Source organism: Homo sapiens, chromosome 2, assembly GCF_000001405.40.
Source record: "Homo sapiens chromosome 2, GRCh38.p14 Primary Assembly".
Taxonomy (NCBI): Eukaryota; Metazoa; Chordata; class Mammalia; order Primates; family Hominidae; genus Homo; species Homo sapiens.
In genome coordinates this window covers 134,403,352-134,426,997 of record NC_000002.12, presented here as the reverse complement: position 1 = coordinate 134,426,997, position 23,646 = coordinate 134,403,352, and the positions used below count along the sequence as shown (strand labels likewise).

The 23,646-nt window shown below is 42.1% G+C and overlaps 1 protein-coding gene across 21 annotated transcripts in view; it reads right to left on the bottom strand.

The window, feature by feature from the left end:
- The window catches only part of MGAT5 (alpha-1,6-mannosylglycoprotein 6-beta-N-acetylglucosaminyltransferase), a 334,687-nt gene that overhangs the window by 27,624 nt on the left and 283,417 nt on the right, over positions 1-23,646 (bottom strand). For all 21 annotated transcript variants that reach the window (XM_006712534.4, XM_047444397.1, XM_047444400.1 and 18 more), the window contains 2 exons: positions 13,983-14,129; positions 4,079-4,195 (listed from right to left, as the gene is read on the bottom strand). In XM_006712534.4, the coding sequence (XP_006712597.1) occupies positions 4,079-4,195; positions 13,983-14,129 (264 nt within the window). The remainder of the gene's footprint in view (positions 1-4,078; positions 4,196-13,982; positions 14,130-23,646) is intronic.

Here is a 23,646-nt window from a genome sequence, read left to right as displayed (position 1 = left end):
CTGAACAAATGCACAAATGTGGGCCACAGTGGCCTACAGCTGTCAGAATAGAGCTCAAAGAGGCTGAGCCGTAAATACTGTAATATCATGGCAGACTATTCTACAAGAACAGAGAGGTCACTCTATTCCTAGACAGCTCATCTCTGAAGAGCTCAAAATACTACGAAGAACTGACTTTCATGTTCTCAGTTTGTTCCTTGTCAACTCAAGCTTTTGAACTTACTGTTCCCTCTCTAACCCAGACACAGCCCTTCACACAAAATGTAAAATTTTTTCTTTTCTTTTAAAGGATGTTTACTCAACCCATGGGTGACTCCAGAAGCTTTCTATTGCTGGCCTAGAGATAAGTTTCCTCTCAAAGATTCATAGAAGGAATGATCTAAAACAAAGAACATGGCATATCTGGGTTCATTTATCAGTGTTAAAGTAGGATTTGTACAGTGAAATAAACATCCATGGTCATCTTTCATGAGATGAACAGATTTAGTTATGTTAGGAAGCACGCCGAGTACCCAAGCACCATTCCAACAACATTTCCAAAGGGAATCCATTAGAAAATGAAAGAAAGTTAATTCAAAGGGTTCAAAGCCAAAAATACAGAAAAATGGCTCCTCCTCTGTTCTCCTACCAACCTAGCCCACTTTAACCAAAGGGATGTTGACTCATTCACTGCTTTGGGGCAGTTCACTGTTTTAAAGGATATGAAGCAAACAATTTTCCTATAAAAGAAAAGCAAAAAGGAGGGAGAGATGGAGGGACGGAAGGAATGAAGGAAGGAAGGAAGGAAGGAAGTCGGTGAGTCAGAAGGTAGGTCTATATTGCTGGACCCTGTGGGTGAGGGCAGGCAGGGGCTTCTGCATTGGAAAGCTCTTCAGAGTCCTGACAGCCTCTGAAGTGACAGCTGTTAATGTGGACTGGGGGCTGGGAGAGCGGGCAGTTTTCTGCATAAAAGTTCTTTAGGAACAAGTGAAGGCCTCTTTGGGGGACAGAATGAAGAAGAATGCTAAATCACATCCAGTCATTGAGAAACCCAAGCTAGGCCAGCTGTGGAGAAGCAAGGAAGTATTCTTGGGCATCCTGCTTTGTTTAAAAAAAAAAAAAAAGGACTGTTACTCATATGGCGAGGGCCACAGGAAGGATGCCTACAGATTGCACTGTGAAGTTCCTGCTGACCTTGGAAATTTTCCCTTATCTTCCCCTCCATTTTCTCTTCTTGGCCTCCCTCCTTGTGAGATTTCCTGTCTCCACTAGTACCAACTCACCTTTCCAAGTCAGGGACAACTTCTACAGGCAATTGCTTTTAGAGATCAGCCTCCATGAGAAGCCCTCCATGGTCTGACCTGACAGATGTGGCTTGGCATCATTCAATAAGAAATGGTCTTAGAAAGTATCAGGAGGCCAGGGTTTGAGTCACGGCTCCTCCATATACTAACCATAGGATTCTGAGTAAGCAGAATCTGTAATTTCTCTTCATAATTTCAAAGTAAACTAGGTCATCTCATCCCCCTGTTCAAAACTTCCCATCATACTTATAAAATCCTCAACACTTAAAAAGAAAGAAAGAAACAAAAAAACCAACCACACACACACAAAAACCAACCACAAAAAAACAAAACAAAACAAAAACAAAAACAAAAACAAAAAAAACTAAAAACACAAACGAGAAAAAAAACCCCTGAACGTTTACCATGGCCTATTGAAAGGCCCCACACATATTCTGGCTCCTGAGGACCCTTTTACGGTCTCCATTATTTCTGATGAGAAGTTGGCTGTGTTAATACCATTATTACTCTAAATGTAATACATTTTTCTCTGGCTGCTTTCAAGGTTTTCTTCCTTATCTTTGCTTTTCAGCAGTTTGATTATAATGTATCTTGGTGTGTTTTTCTTTTCTGCTTCTACCTCAGCTTTTAAATTACTCTCCTCAAGAGTACAAGCATTAACTAAGTGTTGTGGATTGAATTGTACCCCTTTACAAGATATGCTGTCCTAACCCCCAGCACCCGTGAATGTGATCTTATTTGGAAATAGGGTCTTTGTAGATGTAAACAAGTTAGATGAGGTCACACTGAATTAGGGTGGGCCCTAATCTTGTATAAAACGAAAAGACAGAGATACATACAGAGAGAAGCCATAGGATAATGGAGGCAGAGATCAAACCTTTGAGGCTGCAAGCCAAGAAATGCCTAGGCCTACCAGAAGCTGAAAGAGGCAAGGGAGGATATCTAGCTAGAGACTTCGGGGGTGGGCCATGACCCTGCTGACATTTTGACTTCAGACTTCTTGCTTCCAGAACAGAGAGAATAAATTTCTGCTGTTTTAAGCCACTCAGTTGTTTGCACTACTGTGTTACGGCAGCCCTAGGAAGCTCATATACTAAGGGACTGGGAGAATCAAGAAAGAAGAACCTTCACCCTTCCATAGGAATGACTCCAGTAGTGAAGCTTTTGGTGTGTGGCAGATATTTTGAGGCAGCCTAGAGGAACCACATTCCATTTGGCACTTCTTTTATCAGCTCGGTCTCCTGAGGTTGGGGACTGCTGAAACTGCTGAAACTGGGATTGGGATTGTATGTATCATCAATGGGAAGCTGACACTAAAGCCCCATAACCAGACCACCTTGAAGCGGGTAGAGCACAGATAATGCATCGGAGTGCCCTCACTCCCCTGGAGATGTTCTGAATTAACTGAAATCAGCAGTTCAGTGGGCCACAAACTGATTATCCTGTTCTGTTTCCCAGAGGGTAAGATGGCCTCCACATGGGCACACTGGCTATCCCTCCCAGGATATATGCCTTTCCAGCCTCTTCCCTTTCAGTCACACTGTGCTTTGAACCCATGCCTTTCTGCACCCACTTCTGAGTTTTACTTTGCAAATTACTCCTCATCCTGTAAGACTTAACTAAAAGGCTGCATTCTCCAGAAAGGCTTCCCCAGCTTCCGCTCCTGGAGCGTTTGCATGTTGCTTTGGCACTGAACATATTCAGCCTTGTATTATGCTTACTTGCAGACATCTATTCCTCTCTCCCATCTATCCATTGGGTAAATCCCTACGTGGGCACCGGAAATACAGAAATGAGACAGATGTATATCCTGACTTCATGTTGCTAATGGTGTAGTAGAAATTTAGACTATCAACAAAAATCATAATATTGACTAAACACTAAACACAAGTAGACATTGAACTTAAGCACTTTACATACATTATCTCATTTACTCCTCACAAGTGACCAATCAAGTGGTAATATTAGCCCTACATTATACATGAGGGGAAGCTGCTAGTAAGTGGTAGAGCTAGAACTGAACCCACACTGTGTGCGTCCAGCCTGCCCTCCCACATGCCTACCCCGGCTTCTCTTAAAGCATCGCAACTAAGTGTAAAAAGTGCTCCCACCAAAGTACAGCAGCAGAGTGCAGCTGTGAGAGTCCACGGTGGGCTCCGAGTTGGGAGAAAGGATAACTGAACTCGTCTTTACTGGATGGTAAACTTCTGATAGGTGGGAAGCCAGCCTCCTCTATGATTATGGAAGTAAACACCCCGCCCTCCACAACCCCAGGTGACTCAGAGAGCACTCTGTGTATGGTAGGTACCTCACAAATGTCTGTTGAATTGATCAGAAGAGGCCAGAAATGTAGTTACTTTTACAAAATTCTACTACATGTTTAGATAGAACAAACAAACAAACAGATGTTCTATAAAAACATTCCTCAGCATTTCCTTGCACTTCTCCCTCTTTTGTAGAGGAAGCAGGGCTATCTTTTCAGATCTCTGTGAGAGCAACATAATCAGGTCACTGAACCAAGTATGACTCCAGTTCCTGCTCCTGTGCCTGGGATCCATGGTCATGTCTAAACGGTCTATGGAATCCATGCCCACATCGGGATACCAGCTCTGTTTCCATTTCACAGAACATTCATGAAATCCACAGGCCAAATCCTGCAGCTTGGTTATTTTCTAATTCCAGAGTTAAGCTGATGTGGTAAAGATCTGTTTGCTAAAAACAAGGACCTATGATGTGTTTTATACACATTTCAGGTCACATTAGAAAGGAGGGAAAGTGGAATAAAATGAACCAACCTTCTGATTTAAAATTGCTTTCACTGCATCCTCTACTTCCTCCTGATTGTTGAGGTCAACAGTCCACACATGTGGCCGCCCGATGAAAACTTCAGCGTAAGGATGCTGGGATGTCAGCTGGAAAAGAACCGAACACCTCAGTCTCACAAGCAATTTTTAAAATAACCTGTGCTAGATGGAGTGCTATGCTTTTTATGGTACTGAGTTATAATCGTGTAGGTAACAAGACACTGTGTCCTTCCCCTTGATGATCAAAACCATCCATAAGCAGATAACAAAACAGTGATGGTTCTGTACCTTGAATCCCACTTGGAAATAAGATAATGTCACAACCAGGTGACAAGGAAGCTGCTACAGGAGGCTTTAGCCCCCAACATCACATCAAGAAATGATGAACAGTTTCTCCTACCCAGAACCCAGCCCCGAAAATCACCTATTACTAGATCAAACCAGTATCTATTCTCCTGGCTAAGACAGAAAGGTCAGCATAGACAATTACAAGAAAAATCAAGGCTTTTAAAGTCCCAGGAGGCTAAGTCATGGTGCATACAAAAGGTGATAGAAAAAAATGACACCATCAGAAATACACAGAATTTTTGGGATGGTTTCAGGAATAATAATTAGCATAATATTCAGAAAAACAAGGAATGGCAGTTTTTGTCCTAAAGGGGGTTTTATTTTAAAAACAACATGTGGTCAAAGAAACCAAGTGCAAACCATGACAATTCTGAATTCATGAAGTGTCCATTCTTCTTTTTTTTCCCCAAAGGGTCTTGCTCTGTTGCCCAGTCGTAGTTCACTGCAGCCTCAAACTCCTGGGCTCAAGAGATCACCTTGCCTCAGCATTCTGAGTAGTTGGGACTACAGATGTGCACATCATGCCTGGCTAATTAAAAACAATTTTTTTTTTTTTTTGTATACACACGGTCTCTGTATGTTGCCCAGGTGGGTCTCAAACTCCTGGCCTCAAATGATTCTCCTGTGTCCGCCTCCCAAACTGCCGGGATTACAGGCACAAGCCACTGTGCTCAGTTGAGTCCATTCTTTAATACAGCTAAATTTATCCCCTGATTTTGTTTCCACCTCTGTCCTCATATCCCTTTAAGGTCATGTTGTAAAGGGAGCATTCTAGCCACGTGTGAGAGCATTTTCAGCTACCATAATAACTGGAGAATGTTACCCTTAGTCTGTGGGTGGGAACCAGGGATATAAGCACTTCACAATGTCCAAGGACAGTCCTGCACAGGAAGAATTGTCCACTGCCCACGAAACTTTCAAATGGCCTGCAGGGCTTTCACGTGGGCTTAGAGAATCTAGTTTTTTATTTTTTTTTTTTGAAACAGAGTTTTGCTTTGTCACCCCAGCTGGAATGCAGTAGTATGATCCAGCTCACTGCAACCTCTGCCTCCTGGGTTCAAGCAATTCTCCTGCTTCAGCCTCCTGAGTAGCTGGAACTATAGGTGCGCACCACCATGCCTGGCTAAGTTTTTGTATTTTTAGTAGAGATGGGGTTTCATCATGTTGGCCAGGTTGGTCTCGAACTCCTGGCCTCAAGTGATCCACCTGTCTCAGCCCCCAAAGTGCTAGGATTACAGGCATGAACCACCATGCCCAGTCAGAATCTAACTTTTTGACAGTTCAAACATACATTGAATTATCCAGAGACATAATCACCATGTAAATGAAGCAATGTCTCTGCTCTGTTTTATCTGAAACGTCACCAATGAGCTGTCATCATTTCAGAAAGATCAAAGCAACAAAGTCAGTGCCACTGAGGATGTCAGAGTCTCCAGTAAAACATACCCACATTAGTCTATATTTGGAGCTATCACATTACTGGCAATTCTATTTATATGTGGGCATACGTAAACACACTCAGGCTTCGCTCCTCCTTCATAATGTCAATTTTAAGTAAAAAGGCTGACCATATTCAGCTGAATGTTTCATTCCTTTTAAATAAAAACACTCATTGTGAGGAGAAACAAGGCATCATAGTGCCTGGTATAGCTGTTGGGTATGGGACAGCACAGTTCTTGATTCCATAATACTGAAATATGTATTGCTTTATTAGAAATTCTTTTCCTTTTATTTCTCCTTTATATTTGTTAGAGAATTATTCCCTTTTGAAATTACACGGGTAGGCAAGGTTATATAATTTACAAATTTCATCTCATATTTATAACAATAGGAAATATTGGGTTTGCCAGTGCTGAGGCCTTTGCTTTGGAGGTCAAGCTGGCTCTTCTCTTCTCCTCAGGCCTTTGCTTTGGAGGTCAAGCTGGCTCTCCTCTTTTCCTCAGGATACTCACAGGGCTAGAGGAATTAACTGGCACCCCTCCGTCTTTCCCTTAGCCACTGTTCTTTGTATCCTGCCACACCAAGAGCATGCATGTGCTATTCAAGGCAGGAAGCCCGACAAGTCCCTGGGCCCAGCAGTGAGCCTCTGCTGACTGCAGGTTATCTGGGCCTCTATCCAGCAGCAGCCCGTCATCAGTCTCTTCAGTTTCCCGCCCTTCTGACAGGTGCTGTCTTCCTCGGCTCAGCTCTATGGTCAGTGATAAAAGCTACAGACTCTCTGCAGGCCCACGGAACTCAGAAAACTTCCATTTTTTTTTCTCTGCACACTTCTGAATTCAACACTTACCAAGGAAGCCCTACGCTTCCTGCTAATCACCTGCACAAACGTTATTTCTCAGGTTTATTATGCATCAATGACGATTCTGAGACTGAGAGGCGATTACATTTCCCCTAAGACCCCACAGCTGGAAAGGAGAAGAGCCAACTTCAAATCTAGGTCCTTCAACAACTTCTTAGCTTTGGATAAAAAGGAAGGTGACAATTTTAAAGGATGTCTTTAAGTTCTTAAGACAAAGGCCCAATGTAAACACCAGCTTTTTAATCCAGCTCTTACAACTTGCCAACCTAAATTCAGGACTGAATTTATGCCTGTATTTTCTGAAGATGAGCAAAATGTCACATCATTTTCATTTTGTGGCCTGGAGAACTGATTAGATTTTCTGACGGAATCAGGGTAAGTTAAAGTTGCCATCAATGTCACTATTTAGTAATTTACATGTCAGCAGTCTCCCTCCTCTCCTGCCTTTTAAGGTCTCTGCTTATTTACAAGGTTGCTCCAAGCACTTGGAAAATACAAAATGCTGAGCTATTATCCTTTTGTTCATTTACATTTACTGAAGGTTACTTAGCTTTATGAGTGAGGCATTTTGTGATTCATTAGTTCCCCTCTGAATGTTACGTTCCTTCTTGCTATTTATTGAGAACCATCTGATCTAAGATACTTCATTGTATATCAATCAATAAATTTACTGGAGTATAGTTTGTAAAAGTAATGAAAATCTTATTAAATATGAGACATTACTTCAGAGTGGCTATTAAATCTCCAAGGAGAACATGAGTTCTCTTTATGGAAACACACACACACACACACACACACACACACACACACACACACACACAAACCCTGAAGCCAGAGTATTTCTAATGGCTTAAAAAATGTCAGAAAAATGATCGAGAACCTACTCATATGTTTCCCAATATAAAGATAAAAATCCAGTTTATATTAAAACATAACCTGAACCAGCCACATTACTTAAGGCCTTGCGGAACTTTTCTCCCTCTGAGTAGACATCATGGTTTGAAAAATGGTCCAGCACAAAAATAAAAACAAAGCTAAACCCACATTTAGATATCCAGACCTTTTCTTCTCTTCAACTGAAGGCAAAGAGACATGTATGCAGTTGATATGATCAATTTAGGTGGATCAATTATTACTTAATATGAAAGATTTGTGTGGGTGTAAAAAGATAGTTTTGTAATTATGTATACTCTGGTTACAATGTTTCCATTTGCTAAGGAAAAAAGATAATTTCTAGGGATTTTTGATTCTTAGAAATGAACCTGTTGACAGCTCTTTTCCCATTAAAAGCTTCTTTGGTTACAGGGATTTTGTGGACTTTTGTGAGCTGGCAGAGCAGGACAGGGTAACCCACCTGGACATGAGATCAAGCTCGCTGGTCCCTCTCAATGCTGTCTGATGTTGCTGGAGGGAGCTAGATATCAGATGGAACCTGCCCTCTTGCATAAAGCAAACTGACCTTCTTGGGGTATCCCCGACTTGTCAGTATTCATGCTTCTCAGGCTTGAGACCCGCTCGCCTCCTTTTCCTTGAAAGCACAGCTCCTCCACTATCCCCTTCGCAGCTAACCCTGCACATCCTCCACCCAGCACAACTCCAAGTTCACTCCCCTCCTGAATTCACTTAGCTATTTCTTCATGCACTTCCACTGATTATGCATTTGTCCTATAACTCTTTCATATCAGATTTGGAGCTCCTGGAAAACAGGAAATGTACATTGATGAATTCTCCCAGTGCAGCAACTAGTACCACCCTGCGGGGATGCATTAAACACCTGTCAACTCCCCTCTGCATCCTGCCCTCCTGGGGGAGCCTAGGACTGATGGAGTCATCTGTGTGAGGTCACTTGCTGAGCGACTGTTGAAAGGATCCCACAGTTTCTCTAATAGAGTCACATTTAAGGGCTGGTGGAATCATCTGAAGGGTTGAAGGGACAGGAGGAACCAAATGTCCGTGTGACAGCTCCAATGCCTATTCTCTTCTTACAGCATGAAGAATGAAAACCTTCCATGACCTCAGCAAAAAGTAAATTACAAAATGATGGCAACTGATAGAAAACAATGAAATGCTTTTCTTGATAACTTCACGCTGGCTGATCTGATCCATGTAACATTACATCATTCACTGGGCAATGTTCAGATTGTGTTTAAGAGTGTCCTAATTTTTTTTTTCCCGGGAAAAAAATACTCAGTGGCCACAGTGTCATTAAAACCTTTAGAGTCAGTTTTAACAAAAGTGTGTCAGTTGCCAACTTAATCTCAGCTACTTTTGATTCATTTCCCAAAGGCTTGTATATAGAAACTGCAGTAAGAAAAGATAGGGGCTTCTTTGCTTTTCATGCATTTAAAAAATCATGAGGGAATCAGAAAATCACCATCAGAATACCACAGTAATCATTGTTGCAGACATGATCCAGTCCTATATGATACAATAAATACTGTATTTATTTGTATAGTATGTGACACTATACAAATCCACTGCTATATGATACAAAAATTTGAGGATAAACAGGATATTCTAACATAGCCCCAGAGTACTACCCCTACCACAGAGAAAAGACTAAAAGAGTAACTTCATAGTGGAGAAACCTGGGGTCAATCAGTACAACATATTGACATCATATGCCCCCTAATGTGATGTGCTGAGAAAGGTACATCACTTCTGGGATATTCTTGCCAAAAATGCATAACTTCAAATTTGACTGATGGGAAAATATCAGTCAAATCCAAATTGAGAAACAGTGTACAAAAAGCTAACCTGTGCTCCTTAAAAGTGGTTAAGGTCATGGGTGATAGTGAAAGACTGAATTGGCACAGATCAGACGAGACTAAGGAGACACGACTATTAAATGCAATGTGGGTCCAGAATTGGATCCAGGAACAGAAAAAGGATCTCGGTGGAAAAACTGGTGAAGTCCAAATAAAGTCTGTAGTTTAGATAATACTATGGTACCAATGTTAATTTCTTGGTTTTGACCACTGTACTGTAGTTTTGTAGAAGCTGCCATAAGAAGAAGCTAGATGAAGGGTATGCCTGAACTCCATATTATTTTTGCAACTTTTCTGTACCAGTAAAATTATTTCAAAGTAAAAAGTAAATTCTAGCAAGTCTACTTGTAGGTACATTCCTCAAAGTATTGAAAGCAGAGACTCAAAATACTTGTATACCAATGTTCATAGTAGCATTACAATGGGCAAAAGGTGACTACAACCTTTTGCCCATTTATCCATCAATAACTGAATAAACAAAATGATTTATATATATATTCAATGGAATATTCAGCCTTAAGAAAGTAGTGTGTAGATATTCATAAAAAGGAGTGAAATATATATATTTTTTTCATAAAAAGGAGTGACATAGGCCAGGCATGGTGACTCATGCTGTAATCCCAGCACTTTGGGAGGCTGAGGTGGGGGGGATCACTTGATCCCAGGAGTTGGAGACCAGCCTAAGCAACATAGTAAGACCTTTGTTTCTGCAAAAAAAAAAAAAAAAAAATTAATTAGCTGGGTGTGGTGGGGTGTGTCTGTAATCCTAAGCTACTTGGAAGGGTCGCTTTAGTCCAGGAGTTCAAGATCAGCCTAGTTAATACAGTGAGATCCCATCTCTACCAAATATAAAAAGAGTAGCGAGGTGTCGTGGCACACAACTGTAGTCCCAGCTACTCAGGAGGCTGAGGAAGAAATATCACTAGAGCCCAGGAGTTTGAGACTGCAGTGAGCCATGATCACACCATTGCACTCCTCCAGCCTGGGTGGCAGAGCAAGACCCGGTCTCCAAAAAAAAAAAGTAAGGAATGAGATTCTGAAACAGGCTACAACATGAACAAACCTTGAAAACATGCTAAGTTGGTGAGCCAGACACAAAAGGACAGACATTATATGGTTCCACTTATATGAGGTACCTAGAATAGGCAAATTCACAGAGACACAAAGTAGAAGAGAGGTTTACCAGGGGTTGAGAAGTGGGGAGAATGGGGAGTTAGTGTTTAACGTGTGCAGAATTTCTGTTTAGAATGATGAACAAGTTCTGGAAATGGATAGCAGTGATGGTTGCACAATATTGCAAATATACTTAATGCCAGTGAATTGTACACTTAAAAATGGTTAAAAACTTTAACGATAAATGGTAAGTTTTATGTTGTATATACTTTATCTCAAATGTTAAACAAACATGGAAAATTAATATCTACAATTTGGGCATAAAACATGGAAAAATAATATCTACAATTTGGGCAGAAGTAGAACTTTAGAGATTTCCTAGAGCTAATTTCAAATGTACAGGTGATTTTGGCATAAAAACAGACATACAGACCAATGGAACAGAACAGAGAAACCAGAAAAGAACTGATTCCCAACGACGCTGACAAGAATACACAATGGAGAAGCACAGTGTCATCAATAAATAATATTTGGAAAACTTGATTTCCACAAGCATAAGAATGAAATCAAATCTTTATCTCACACTATCTATAAAAATGAATTCAAAATTGATTAGACTTCAATATAAGACCTGAAACAGCACAACTACGAGGAAAAAAAAAGTGCAAAAGCTTCTTGACACTAGTCTGGGCAATGATGTTTGGGTATGATACTAAAAGCACAGGCAACAAAAGCAAAAACAGGCAACTGAGATTGCATCAAACTAAAGAGCTTCTGCACAGCAAAGGAAACAATCAATAGAGTGAAAAGGCAACCTATGGAATGGGAGAAAATATTTGCAAACCACATATTTAATAAGCGGTTAATTCCCAAAGTATATAAGGAACTCCTACAACTCAACTGCGGAAAAAACCCAACCAATCAAATTAAAATATACGCAAATAACCTGAAGACATTTCTCGAAAGAAGACATACACAAGGCAAACAAACATATGAAAAGGTGCTCAACATCTTTCATCATCAGGGAGATGCACATTGAAACCACAAGGAGATATCACCTCATGCTTGTTAAAATGGCTTTTATCAAAAAGACAAAAGATAACAAGTGTCTGGCAAGAATGTGGTAAAAAGGGAAGCTTGGTACCCTGCTGGTGAAAATGTAATGTGTTACAGCCATAAATGAAAAAGAAAATGGAGGTTTCTCAAAAAATAAGAAATAGAACTCCACATAATCCAGCAATCCCACTGCTGGGTATATATCCAAAGCAGTTAAAATCAGTATGTTAAAGCAGTATCTGCACTCGCATGTACACTGCAGCATTATTCATAATAGCCAAGATATGGAAACAAACTAAGTGGCCTTCAGTGGATGAATAGATAAACAAATTATGTGTATATGAAATATTTAGCCTGCAAAAGAAGGAAATCCCATCACTGGCGGCAACATGGATGAATGTGGAAAATATTATGCTAAGTAAAATAAGCCAGGCACAGAAGGAAAATTCTGCATGATCCCACATGCAGACCAGCCTAGCTGAACTCACAGTTCAACTCACAGTAAAATGGTTGAACTCGCAGAGCAGAGAATACATTCGTGATTCCCAGAGACTGGTGCGTGGGGATATGGGGAGATGTTGGTCAAAGTCTCAGTTATACAAGTTGATTAAGTTCTGGAGAACTAGTGTGCAGCATTATGACCATAGTTAACAATACTGTATTGCATACTTGAAATTTGCCAAAAAAGGAGATCTTAAGTGTTTTTACCATGAAAAAAATATCTATTTAATATGTAAGGTGATGGATTAGCTTGATTGTAATGACTATCTCACAATGTGTATATTTATCAAAACATCAAGGTGTACACCTTAAGCATATTTTTTGTCAAAAATAAACAAAAAACCCGAGGGATGATTTACTAGTTTCTTTCCCCCCGCCAAACTCCAAAGTTTCAAAGAAGTCAGTCACATGCTAAAGCAGAGATTCCTAAACTGAGATATTTTCACTGCTGGGCAGCATCTTTTTAAACTTTTCAAAAGAATAGGTTCACGGCAGACTGAATGTCCCCAGTCTCTGTGTCCTAGCACTTCCTACAGCACCTAGCACACAGATGTACATTAAGTATTGCCGACTTATAAATGAACAAACTGACCTCTTAATACAAAACCACTCCCCAAATGAAGAATTCAAATTTATTATTCTAGCAGAAGGAAAAAAAAAAAAAACCACACACACACACACAAGTGTGTGCACAACCCTTGTCAAAGGTTATCTGGGCCACGGATTAACCTTTTATAGATAAACATAGATCTTATTGAACTTCTATCTCCTTTGGCTATTTCACCAATGACAGGAAGGGTCAGAGAAAAATAACTCTCAAAGTAATCAGTTCTATAAATTGTCAAGGTTTCTGACTGATCAATAAAAAATAACCATTGAAAATGCATCTTATATACTATTTGGGAGAGAAAATGACTCAGAAGGGGTTTAAAAGTAGAACTGAAAAATATATGTTTTATAAACTGTCCTTCTACATTGATATGCCATGGGACGGATGCTAATCAATGTAATCCCCCAGCCAAAGGCCCTGAATGACAAGGATGCTGCTATGACTTCCCTTCATAAGCTGCCTGCAGAGTCACTTACTACTAACTACATAGAAATAATCAGAAAATCAATCTTATGGTTTCTTGCACACACCTATTTCTGACCAGATGAAGAAACACCCAGCTTGATCACTCACACGTAGCTGTAAAAGACTTTTGTTTATTGCCCTAAATCAAATCCAACTACCCTCAATGGTGATTCATCACACACTGCAGATTTTCAACAGGATCTCTGAAGGCAATTCAAATGAGGCTTCTGCAAATGGTTCTAGCAATGGTAGGATTACTTCTTGGGATGGTGGGTGAAAAAAATCAGTCACATTACTTCAGTTATCCATGATACATATGGTATCCTGAGGCTGATGGCTCTTTGAAAACTCCCACAGCCCACTTTTTATTCTCCAAAGCCCATCATGGGGAGCAGATTCTTCACAAGTATCTGCTAACCAGTTGATCTCACTCCCTAAACTTCAAACATTCAGGAAACCAGAGTTCAGCTATAATCAGAGGCTAGATTGTCTGAGTTTACAGTAAGCTAGAGTGGGGGTAGAGTGTCAAGATCCCTTACTTGGTGAAGGCAGAAGTAGATTCAAATCCTGCCCCTAACTTGCAAGGTGATGTGATCAGGTCATTTGCCTCTCTGAGCCTCTATACCCTCACCCTCCCACCCAATCATGTTAGATGAAGTTAATACCTACATGAGCACTCAATAAATAGCTATTATTCATATTATTCAAAATGGAATAATTTTGATAGATGCTTACCTCTCTCAGAGTTGGCTTGCCAATGAAAAAGTCTGTGTTTTTGCTGCTTTTGGGTGGGTTGAACTTGGGATTCAGAAAAGCACATCCATTTGCGATAGCTTCCAGGGGAGCTGGGCCCTCGTAAGGGAACCCAAGTCCAACAAACAACTGTAAGACAGAAAACCACACAGCGTATGAACACATCAGGCAGGACCATCAGGCAGGACGGGCATTCCTAGCTTGCAGGCGGCGATTCTGTGGCCCATTCCCGTGTGGACACCTCACTTTGGAAGGCTCCCAGGCCCTGGGGGGTGGGGCAGAGAGAATTCAGCTTACACCAGGATCTGAAAAACTACGAACTTTTAAAGTCCCCACAAAGCTGCTCAACTCACTATGCTCTCCTCCACCAAGGAACTAAAAAATTAAGTGTCTAGGGGTATCCACGGGGTAGGGAGGATGGAGTATTAAAAGAAAAACAACCACCACCACCACCAAGACCCAACAATAATCCTTCTGTAACTCACCAGGAGACATGACTGGAAAAACACTTGCTTAACTACACAGAAGGTTTCTTCATTGAACCAAAGAAACAACAGGCCCTTTCAGGAATGCTGGGCGGAGGGACAGAAAGGTCACTTGGAGGTTTGATTGCAGTTCAAACGGAACTGCTTTAAAATGATGGTAGGTCAGTAAACACAGGTTTTCATAATGGGGTTTACACTGGGGACACCAACATCTTGGTGTTGATTTTCCCCTCAGAGGGGAGAGAGGGTGCTGTGTTGCTGAATCTGCAAGGCAGCTGCTTCCCTCTCCAGCAGGCAAACCATGTGCTTCCCCCAAGACAGACCATAGATGGCAGCAACAACTTGCTCTCAGTCCTCAGAGCAACCACAGCAGCTGGAAGCCACGATGACAAAGGGGACAAGCTGCAGTTCAGTGGTGCTGATTTCCTGGGTCCAAAAATGAAATAACTGCTCACAGAAATGCCTCGGCACGTACCATCACAGTGGGTGTACTTCACACTGCTGGAGCACTGCAGGTTGTTGATGGGCAGGGTCCAGGTCTGGGCTTGACGAAGCTGTGTCCTCTCTACCCACATAAAAGCCTGTTCTGTTTCAGCCCCCAGGGGCACATTAAGTGAGAAAAGATAACTGGGCCCCAGGGCGTCCTTACCTTCTGCCATCACAGAGCATCACCCAACCACAAGGCCAGGTGTTGAGAATGAAGGAGATGGCTCAACTAGATTTAGCTGCAAGCTTGGTTCTGTTTTTCCCTCGGTCTTTTCACAGCAATCCCCTCCTTCTCACCAGCTTTCCTCTCTTAGCAGCTGCTCTAATTGAATGATCGTTTAGAAAGGTTCAGCTGGAGGGTGCCAGGCCCAAGCTGCCGGGCTGCATGTGTCAGGCCAACCCTGAGCACAGCCCATGGGTGACATACTGGAGAACCAGGTAGCTCCTGAAGGAATTCTGGGGCACAGCACTAACATCTCAGGTTTTCTGGACCTATTTACTTTTGTTTTGAACAGAATAGGGTACTCAATCTTTTTGGTTTTTTGAAAGAATAAATTTTCGTTTCCTGAAAACTGCGTGATCACAATGCCAGAGATGTCCACAGGGCAGGGAGCTGGGAAGAAAAGAAGCTTTAGAGGCCAGCAGAGCCCCTAATGCTGGCTGGGTCATTTCCCCCTTGGGCAGCAGAACCACCAGAGATCACGGGTGGGGGTGATGGTGGTGAGGAAAACATGGTAGCCAGGAGCCTGGAAGCTGTAGGATAAAGGGAAAGCTCTACTACCATTAGGAAGCTCCTGCTCTGCATCTTACTCTTATTATACAGCTAACAGAAACGAGATTGTCAGAGAGAACTTCTAACTATAGGGTGTGGCCTGGACATGTGGCTCAGGGGTGGGGGAGATCTGACTGCTGCAGATGAAATGGAAGGAAACAGTGGGAATGTACTAGTCCCACGACATCCCAGCTTTATGGAATATGAAGAATCCAGGGTTGTTATCTACCAGACTTGTGATCTCTGATTTGCCCTCTCCTATCAGACTTTGGAGAGGATGTGCCGGCTCTCCAGTGGAAAACAAATGACCTCTGTCAGGCCGTGGTTGGGCATAAGATAGCACAGGGAGTCCAGATCTTTCTGACTGAGGAGAAAAGTGCCAGAAGACGCAGATCAGGATTTCTGCAGGTTTAGTCAGAGAACCCACAGTGCCTCCTGACCTCTGAAAATCAGGGCCTGCCATGAAGTGTGGATACCTTCATCAACTCTAAATTTCAAAGAACAGCTTTGGAGGAAATGCAAGCAGCACAATGTTTGTCTATTTAAATAGAAAATCTTGGGAAAAATTTAATTAGCTTCTTTAGATCAATCTGAATCCATTAATTAAAAGGATTTGAGGCTGTTGCTTAATGGACTTGAATGTGACCTAGGTTTAATTATATCTGAACAACAATATGAACCATCTCTTCTGCCCTGTGGGCACCAGAATATCTCAGTACACATAAAATAAAAACTTTATTAACTCTCCCAAAGCCTCATATGTTTAGAATGAAGCCTAAGCAAATACAACATAATTTCCTGGCAATGAGTTTTTCTGTCACACAATTAGGATTGTAGGAAATACATTACTTGGAAACACCAAAATAACAGTTTTTTGTCACTTCAGTCAATAAGCAATTTTTTTCTTGCTTCCTGTGTGCTTATTACCTGTGATATTACAATGGAGCAGATGTATTAAGGTCAAATAGCACATCTGAGGTTTGAATGAAAACACAACAGGCGGAGAGAGTTCATCACCACCAAACAGCACTCTGTAAACTTCCTTGCACTTATGGTCTTGCCACACATTGGCACCTTAACCACACTGAATTGCTTTTCCCCTAATCTCCTGCTATTCTGCCTACTTAACCGATTTCCTTAGCAAGGAGGCAAGAGACACTGCAAGAATGTACATAAGTGCCAAGGCTTAACTCTGCTGGAGAAAACTGGCCATATTTTACTTATACTTCACCTTGCCTTCAGAAGCCCAGAATCTAATGAGGATATTCCAGATGACAAAATATCTCCATGGCTGCAACTCCAGCTCCATCAATGAGTATTTCTACACAGAGGGATTGTGGGATCTAGGATTAAATTTCTGAACTAATGCTAAGCAGAGAGAACAGATGAGGCACCATACGTTTTCTTCACAGTATAGGATTGGGACGTTCCTACACATTCACAAAGGGTCCAGTAAAACCACCCAGATTTTTCCCACTCTGTGAAAGAAGAAACAATTGTTTTAAACTGCTAAGTGGAGTACTTAAAGAATCTTTAAACATGGATAAAGGGGGTTCTTATCCATGGGCTTGGTCAGTTTCACTCTTGATGGGGAACATTGAGGATAATCATAAATAGGAAACACACACACAACACATACTTTTCTGGCCAGTTTTAATTAGCGAAGTTGGCATGGTGACTCTAGAGGGAAACTGAGCAATGAATCACCCCCGGTTCATCAAATGAATTGATGAATCCATTATTGGCACAAAGTGCCCAGAACAATGTGGTAATTAACAGCGCAGGTTCTGGAGACAGATTAGGCTTCAAGGTCTAGCTCCATCATTTCCCAGGTCAGTCACTGTGACACACTGCTAGGTGCTTCTGTCTATGGATTAGTTAAGGCCCATTTATAATCTATTCTATTTATAGGACCTTAGTCCGGGTAACAAGCTTGCTAAACCTCAGAGTTTTCATGTGTAAAATGGGTAAAACAATAGTGCTTTATTTCATGGGGTTGCTGTGAGGATTACATGAGATAGTACATGGAAAGGATTCATTCCAAGTCTTGGCACTTAGTAAGTGCTGGATAATCAGTCACTCAAGTTCAAATCCATATGCAACTTCACACAGCTGCATATCATGGCCTTATATCATTTAGACGGAGTTTACGTGTGCAGGAGTTATGTTTGTGGGTTTTTACAAGATGTTCAGCACCTGCATGTATATTTATGAGTTCTCATTGTTTCATAAAGTATCTGCACTAAAAAACGGGGAGGGATATTCATCAGAAGAGAGAGATAAGAGATGATATGGTTTACAGTGACTGCCACATAAGCCAGTCCCATGAGTCACATGCTATTGCTAAGCTTTGCTTGTTTATTTTTATACAATGACTGGGAATCATTATATTAATGTTTCTGGTAATAGGCATCCCTTTTATATCTTAAAAATAACCCAGACAAGGGGCTGGGTATGAAGAAAACAATTTTTCCAAAATGTGATGCTTTCATGTAGCCCAAAGGGTCCCTCCCTGGCCATCTGCCTTCTTTCAGGTACCTGATGCTTAAGGAAGGGATAAACAGTGGCCAGACTCTCTTCCATCCAGGCTGGCTCTATCCTCCCAAGGGCTCCACAAGCCCCTGACTCATGTGACCTGAAGACTCTCTAGGGAAGAGCTGGAAGGTCCACGGAGGCCAAGAAAAGAAGACTCACCAAGCATGTTTACATGCCCAAAGCAGACTTTTGTCAGAGTCTGCTGCTAAACCAAAGACTATTTCCTGAAGACCAGCTGGCTGATTATGCCAAGCTACCTAACTACCGTTTCAGAAACAAAAACCCAAACCACAAACAACAGCATCAGGATAAAAAGTTCCTGAGTTTCGGTCATTTGAAAGCCCCAATATAAAATCAAATGCATTACAATTCACATTGTAAATTTATTAACTTGGAGATAGGGGAGTAAAAGAATATTTGCATAAATTTAAACCTGTAGATGCTGAACATGTTCAGTTGGGCCAGCCTCAAGTGCTCACCATTAAAAGTCCACTCAGGCATCATCTCCTGGGAGGACCCTTTTCTGACCACGCCTCTCTCCCCCAAATTCCACACCAGGACAACCCCTCAGCCGCCAACACGGAGGCAGCAAAACAGGCTTATTTACGACTGGAGCCTCAGTGGCTGCTTCATTAAAATGGTACCGTTTATAACAGTACCAAGATCATTGGATTTTTGTGATGCAAAGAGAGAATACACAGAAAGGGCTTAGCATAGGGCCTAGTACATGGTAGAGGGGAGAGATAATGGCTGTTACTGTTATGGTAAATCCCATAGACAGGTGCATCGCAATAGCATGGAGGTGTTAAACTGTGACTGACAGTGGCTCCTGTCCTCTGAATGGGACTGCCCAATTCACTACATTGATTTCACAAGTCACAGAACCACATTTTACACAACTGAACTGTTGGCCCCACTCAGCGTGACAGTGAAGTTTTATGCTTGTATCATTATTTCATATTATGACTAGTTCTACCTGTGTACTTTCCACATTGTTACAGTTACCTGCTTTCCTCCTCCAGCATACCTGTATGCTCCTTGTGGGCAAAACTGCTTGAGTCATCACTGTCTCTAGAATGGCTAGACTAAGGCCTAGAATATATCTAGTACTTAATATTATACTTACTTGCTGGATGAAACAGTAAAAGAATAAATACTATGAGACTGGATCTTTCCAGCAATCAAGTGTCTCTGTGCACAGAAGTTGAACGTGTTGTATTTATTTGAGTGTAGGGATGCACTTTTGCTCTGAAAGTCAGACAGGTTACTGACTCATACCTCTGTACACTCTTCAGTCTATATACATGTGTAGATAAGGGGGAGGGAAGGAGGCATGGATGTGTTCGTACAATTTTTTCCCCATCTAGATGGCATGGGAATGACTTGAAGTATGCTCACTAGGATGAAACCTGCTTCAATTGGCTGCCTGAGGGCAAATGGGAACCAGTATCTGTAATAGAAACAGAAGAAGGACTGCTCCTCCTAAGGAAGCAAGCTCTTGGGCTATCACTCACAGGGCCTGGAGATGTAGGCAACATTACAGACAGGCAGGAACGGGGTATCAGAAGGGTAGTGTCCCTAGCTGGTGAGATCTAAGAGATCTAGGCGCAGGGTATACGAGAACAGGAAGAAATCTCAGAGATCCCAGATGGTCAATGTGTTTCATTTTGACTCCTTCTTTCATTCTTTATACAATCATCTAAATGCCTTTTAGAAGCCAGGCACTGTGGATGCACCTGTGGATAGAACAAGCAAAGGCCCTCTGCCCTCATGCAGCTGCAGGAGAGTCTGCTGCCTCAAGCCCTGGGTATTTCAGACAGCCTTTTTTAAAGACAGGGTCTCCCTCTGTCACTCAGGCTGGAGTGCAGGTGTCCTCAGCTCACCACAACCTCAGCCTTCTGGACTCAAGTGACCCTCCCATTTCAGCTTCCTGAAAATCTAGAACTGCAGGTAAATGCCACCACGCACAGCTATTTTTTTTTTTTTTTGGTATTTTTTGTAGAAATGGGGTTTTGCCATGTTGCCCAGGCTGGTCTTGAACTCCTCGGCTCAAGCAATTTGCCCGACTCAGCCTCTCCCAAAGTGCTAAGATTACAGATGTGAGCTACTGCACCGCACCTGCCTTAGACAGGTTTTGTGAGCACATCCAAGCTCAGTAAGAAGAGACATAGTTGGTGGGGGGCAGGGTGGCACAGTCAGTCATGAGGATAAGATGAGTCAGAGGGAGCACTGCATATTTGCCAGGCCTGCCCATGTTCCTAGGTGAGTCCCACAGGTAAGCTGATAAGCTGACATGATGGGGAAACAGTGCCGTCATGACCCAGCCAAGTCTTGGAGAGGTGAATGAATGGAGGTCTGGGTACAGAAGGGGTACAGCGACAGTATGTGCAGAAGCCACAGCTTTGCCTGTTTTCTTCCCCACAACCAGAATTTGTTTTCAACTGTAGAAAGGACGGTACTGGTCCAGCTCACAAAGCACTCAGTGAGTTGCAGATGCAAATGCACTATTCAGTATCATATATGAAACAGGGAAGACTGAGGGAGGTGGACATGAAGAGGTTAAATCCAGGAAGATGAAGAAAGAAGCCACTTTAAAAGAGATGGAGATTTAAACCAAAAATAAAAACATGCCACCCTAGTGAGTCCTGATTTGCTGGCTTAAACTGCACTCCTGGGGTTTGCTGGACTGAATGACTCGGCTGTGGTCCTGTGATAAATAATTCATTCATCCAAGTTTATACCCCAATTAGAAGGATCTGCTAGATTCCAACAACTTCCTGGCTCTTTTAGCCCCAGTATTAGTGTTACATTGAATTCCTTCCATCTTCACAGGTTCCCTGAAGCAAGAGGCTACTAATGACGCCTGCACCCCTAATGGCATGCCTGGACAAAATTCTGCTGAGCAGAGGGTTTCCTAAGATTGGTGCAGAGATTCAAAGATGGCTTGTAAAGAAAAATAATGAGTCAGAAGCTGATCAAGCATCAATCATCTCTCTATGTCTCTAACTCTCTTGAGGAGGTCAGCCCTGCTTCTCTTGCCAGTAAGGAGTCCAAGAAGTGTGTGAATCCCATTCATGCTGCAGACATCTGCTTCTCGGCTGCTCCAGTTCCCCATTTCCAATGTGGATTAGAATAAATCGCTTTTAAATTGCTCATAGACAGAGAGAAAGGAGTCAGAGACAGAAAGGGTTATAGATGCGAAGCCTGACTGGTCTTTCATGTCATTATTTCAAAGCCAAAGGTTCATTCATTTTGGAGCCTGTAGCTGTGTGCCAGGTGTGAGGGGAGTCTCAGCAATACGCTGCCCCATCCTTGTCACATTTGCCAAATGTCTGAGCCATGATTCCACTCAGAGTATTTTAATATACTCTACTCAAGGAGCAGGCAATAGGTAATGGGATCAGTGACATCCTCTACACGGGTCCCAGTTTTTCAAGGATGAACATACACCCCTCGTGCTCTTTAACTCAGGCTGCAATCCTTGCTCATTAGACAAACTTGGACATCTTGGCCTGGGCCTTCCCTGCCTCTTTTCCTGTCCTCCCCTGGACATCAGCGATCTCCGTTTTGGCCTATTTCCTAATCTCTGACAGGGTAATGGATGGTAGGTAAGTAAGGGTTCTTTCAAAATTTGCGAAGCTGAGAGAGACATTCATGAGGTTGGGTTAATAAAAGTGTGTGAGACAGTAATGACACACTGCTGAAAACCAGCTCTGCCAAGTGTTTTTTAAAGGAGCTTGAGCTCTTTCCACAATCTGATGTGGAGAAAAGTAAAATGAGGCAAATGGCAAAAACAGCACTGCCATTAAAGGGCCCAGACATTCTGATGATTCTGAAATGTCAGCCTAAGACAGAAGGTGATAGAAAGCAAATAGTGAAAACTAGAGAACACACTTCACTCCTGGATAACAAAAAACAGTCATCAGACTACAGATGACCTTGGAAGGAAATAAAATCTTAAAACAAACCAGGTCTTTGGCCAATAAGCTAAAGAAATTGTCAAATCATTTTATTTGTGGCATCATACAAATGCCTTGGACGTAGATAGGATCAAATGCATTTACAGATGGAGAAACTGAGGCAAAGAGGAGATATACATTCTTTTGGCTAGTGGGTGTCCACTAAGAGTTCTTAAGTTTGAGTGTTTATGACGATAGTACATCAAGGGGCTAGCAGAGCTTTAATGTGCAATTAAAAAAATCATGAGTTAGGGCCACCTCCAGGACTTGACCCCAGTTTACTGTGGGCAAGCCAAACTCTGTAGCCTATTTCCTCATGTTCAAAATAAAGTTAACAATAATACCTGCTCTATCTACCTCTTAATGCTGTTGTGAGAATCAAAGAGGATAGCATATGTGAATACACTTTTTATAAATGAAGTATCACATAATGATTGGACAACTGAGATTATGCCCTAGAAGTCCACCTGCTCAACCTCTCTCCCCTACCTTGAACATGAAAACAAAGCGAGCCAGAGATGAGAGCTGAGAAATCCACTACTGAAAATAAGCTTCCTTGTGCTTAGGACATACCACAAGAGAGATCCATGTGCCTTCTTCACACTTGCATCCCTTGTACAACGCCTAGCACATTGCAGCTACTCAATAAATATTTGTGAAATTCATAAAAACTTATTAATAAACCTGAGGGAGTTTATCTAATACACTGAAATGCCAGCCAACCCTTCAAGGCCAAACTCTGGTTTCTTCACAAGTTCCCGAACTTCATTTGGTACTTCCATGGCACCATTACAGAAAAAACACAGACCACTGGGTGGACTTCCCTACAGTGTCAAAGCAACACGTCATCATGCTACTGCTGAGCAAAATGATCCTCAAGGGCTTGCCCGGCTACCTCCACCACATGGTGTGAACTCTGCCTCCATCTGTGCCAATCAGACCCTCACATTCCCTCATCCAATTTTACCTCCACTATTTTTCAACACTTAGACTAGCTGGGTTGGCTTCTAGCTCTTTCCTGAATATGCCACCTCCACCTCCACCACCTGACTCTAACTCCTGTCTGGCCCACATGCCAGGTGTGTCTACACTCCATCCATCTTTCATCTCTTGCATCTCTCCTGATGCTTGCTCTGCTTCCTGAGCCCACAGGGACTTTGCCCTCATCTGAACTTCTTCACTGTCCAATGCGTACTTGGTGAACAAGGAGGTATGAGGAAAAGCTGGTTGGGAAACCCACTCCTTGAACAGTGATGATTGGGTTGGGGGAAGAGTTCAGCACCCCTGGCTTACTATGAAAGCTGCTGCTCTATTAGAAAGTCTGTCCTTCCAGGCAGGGCTTTACCTTTTCCATTTGCAGCCTTATCCTTAGCCCCTTGCTTGACACCTAACACTGAGTAGGTCCTTAG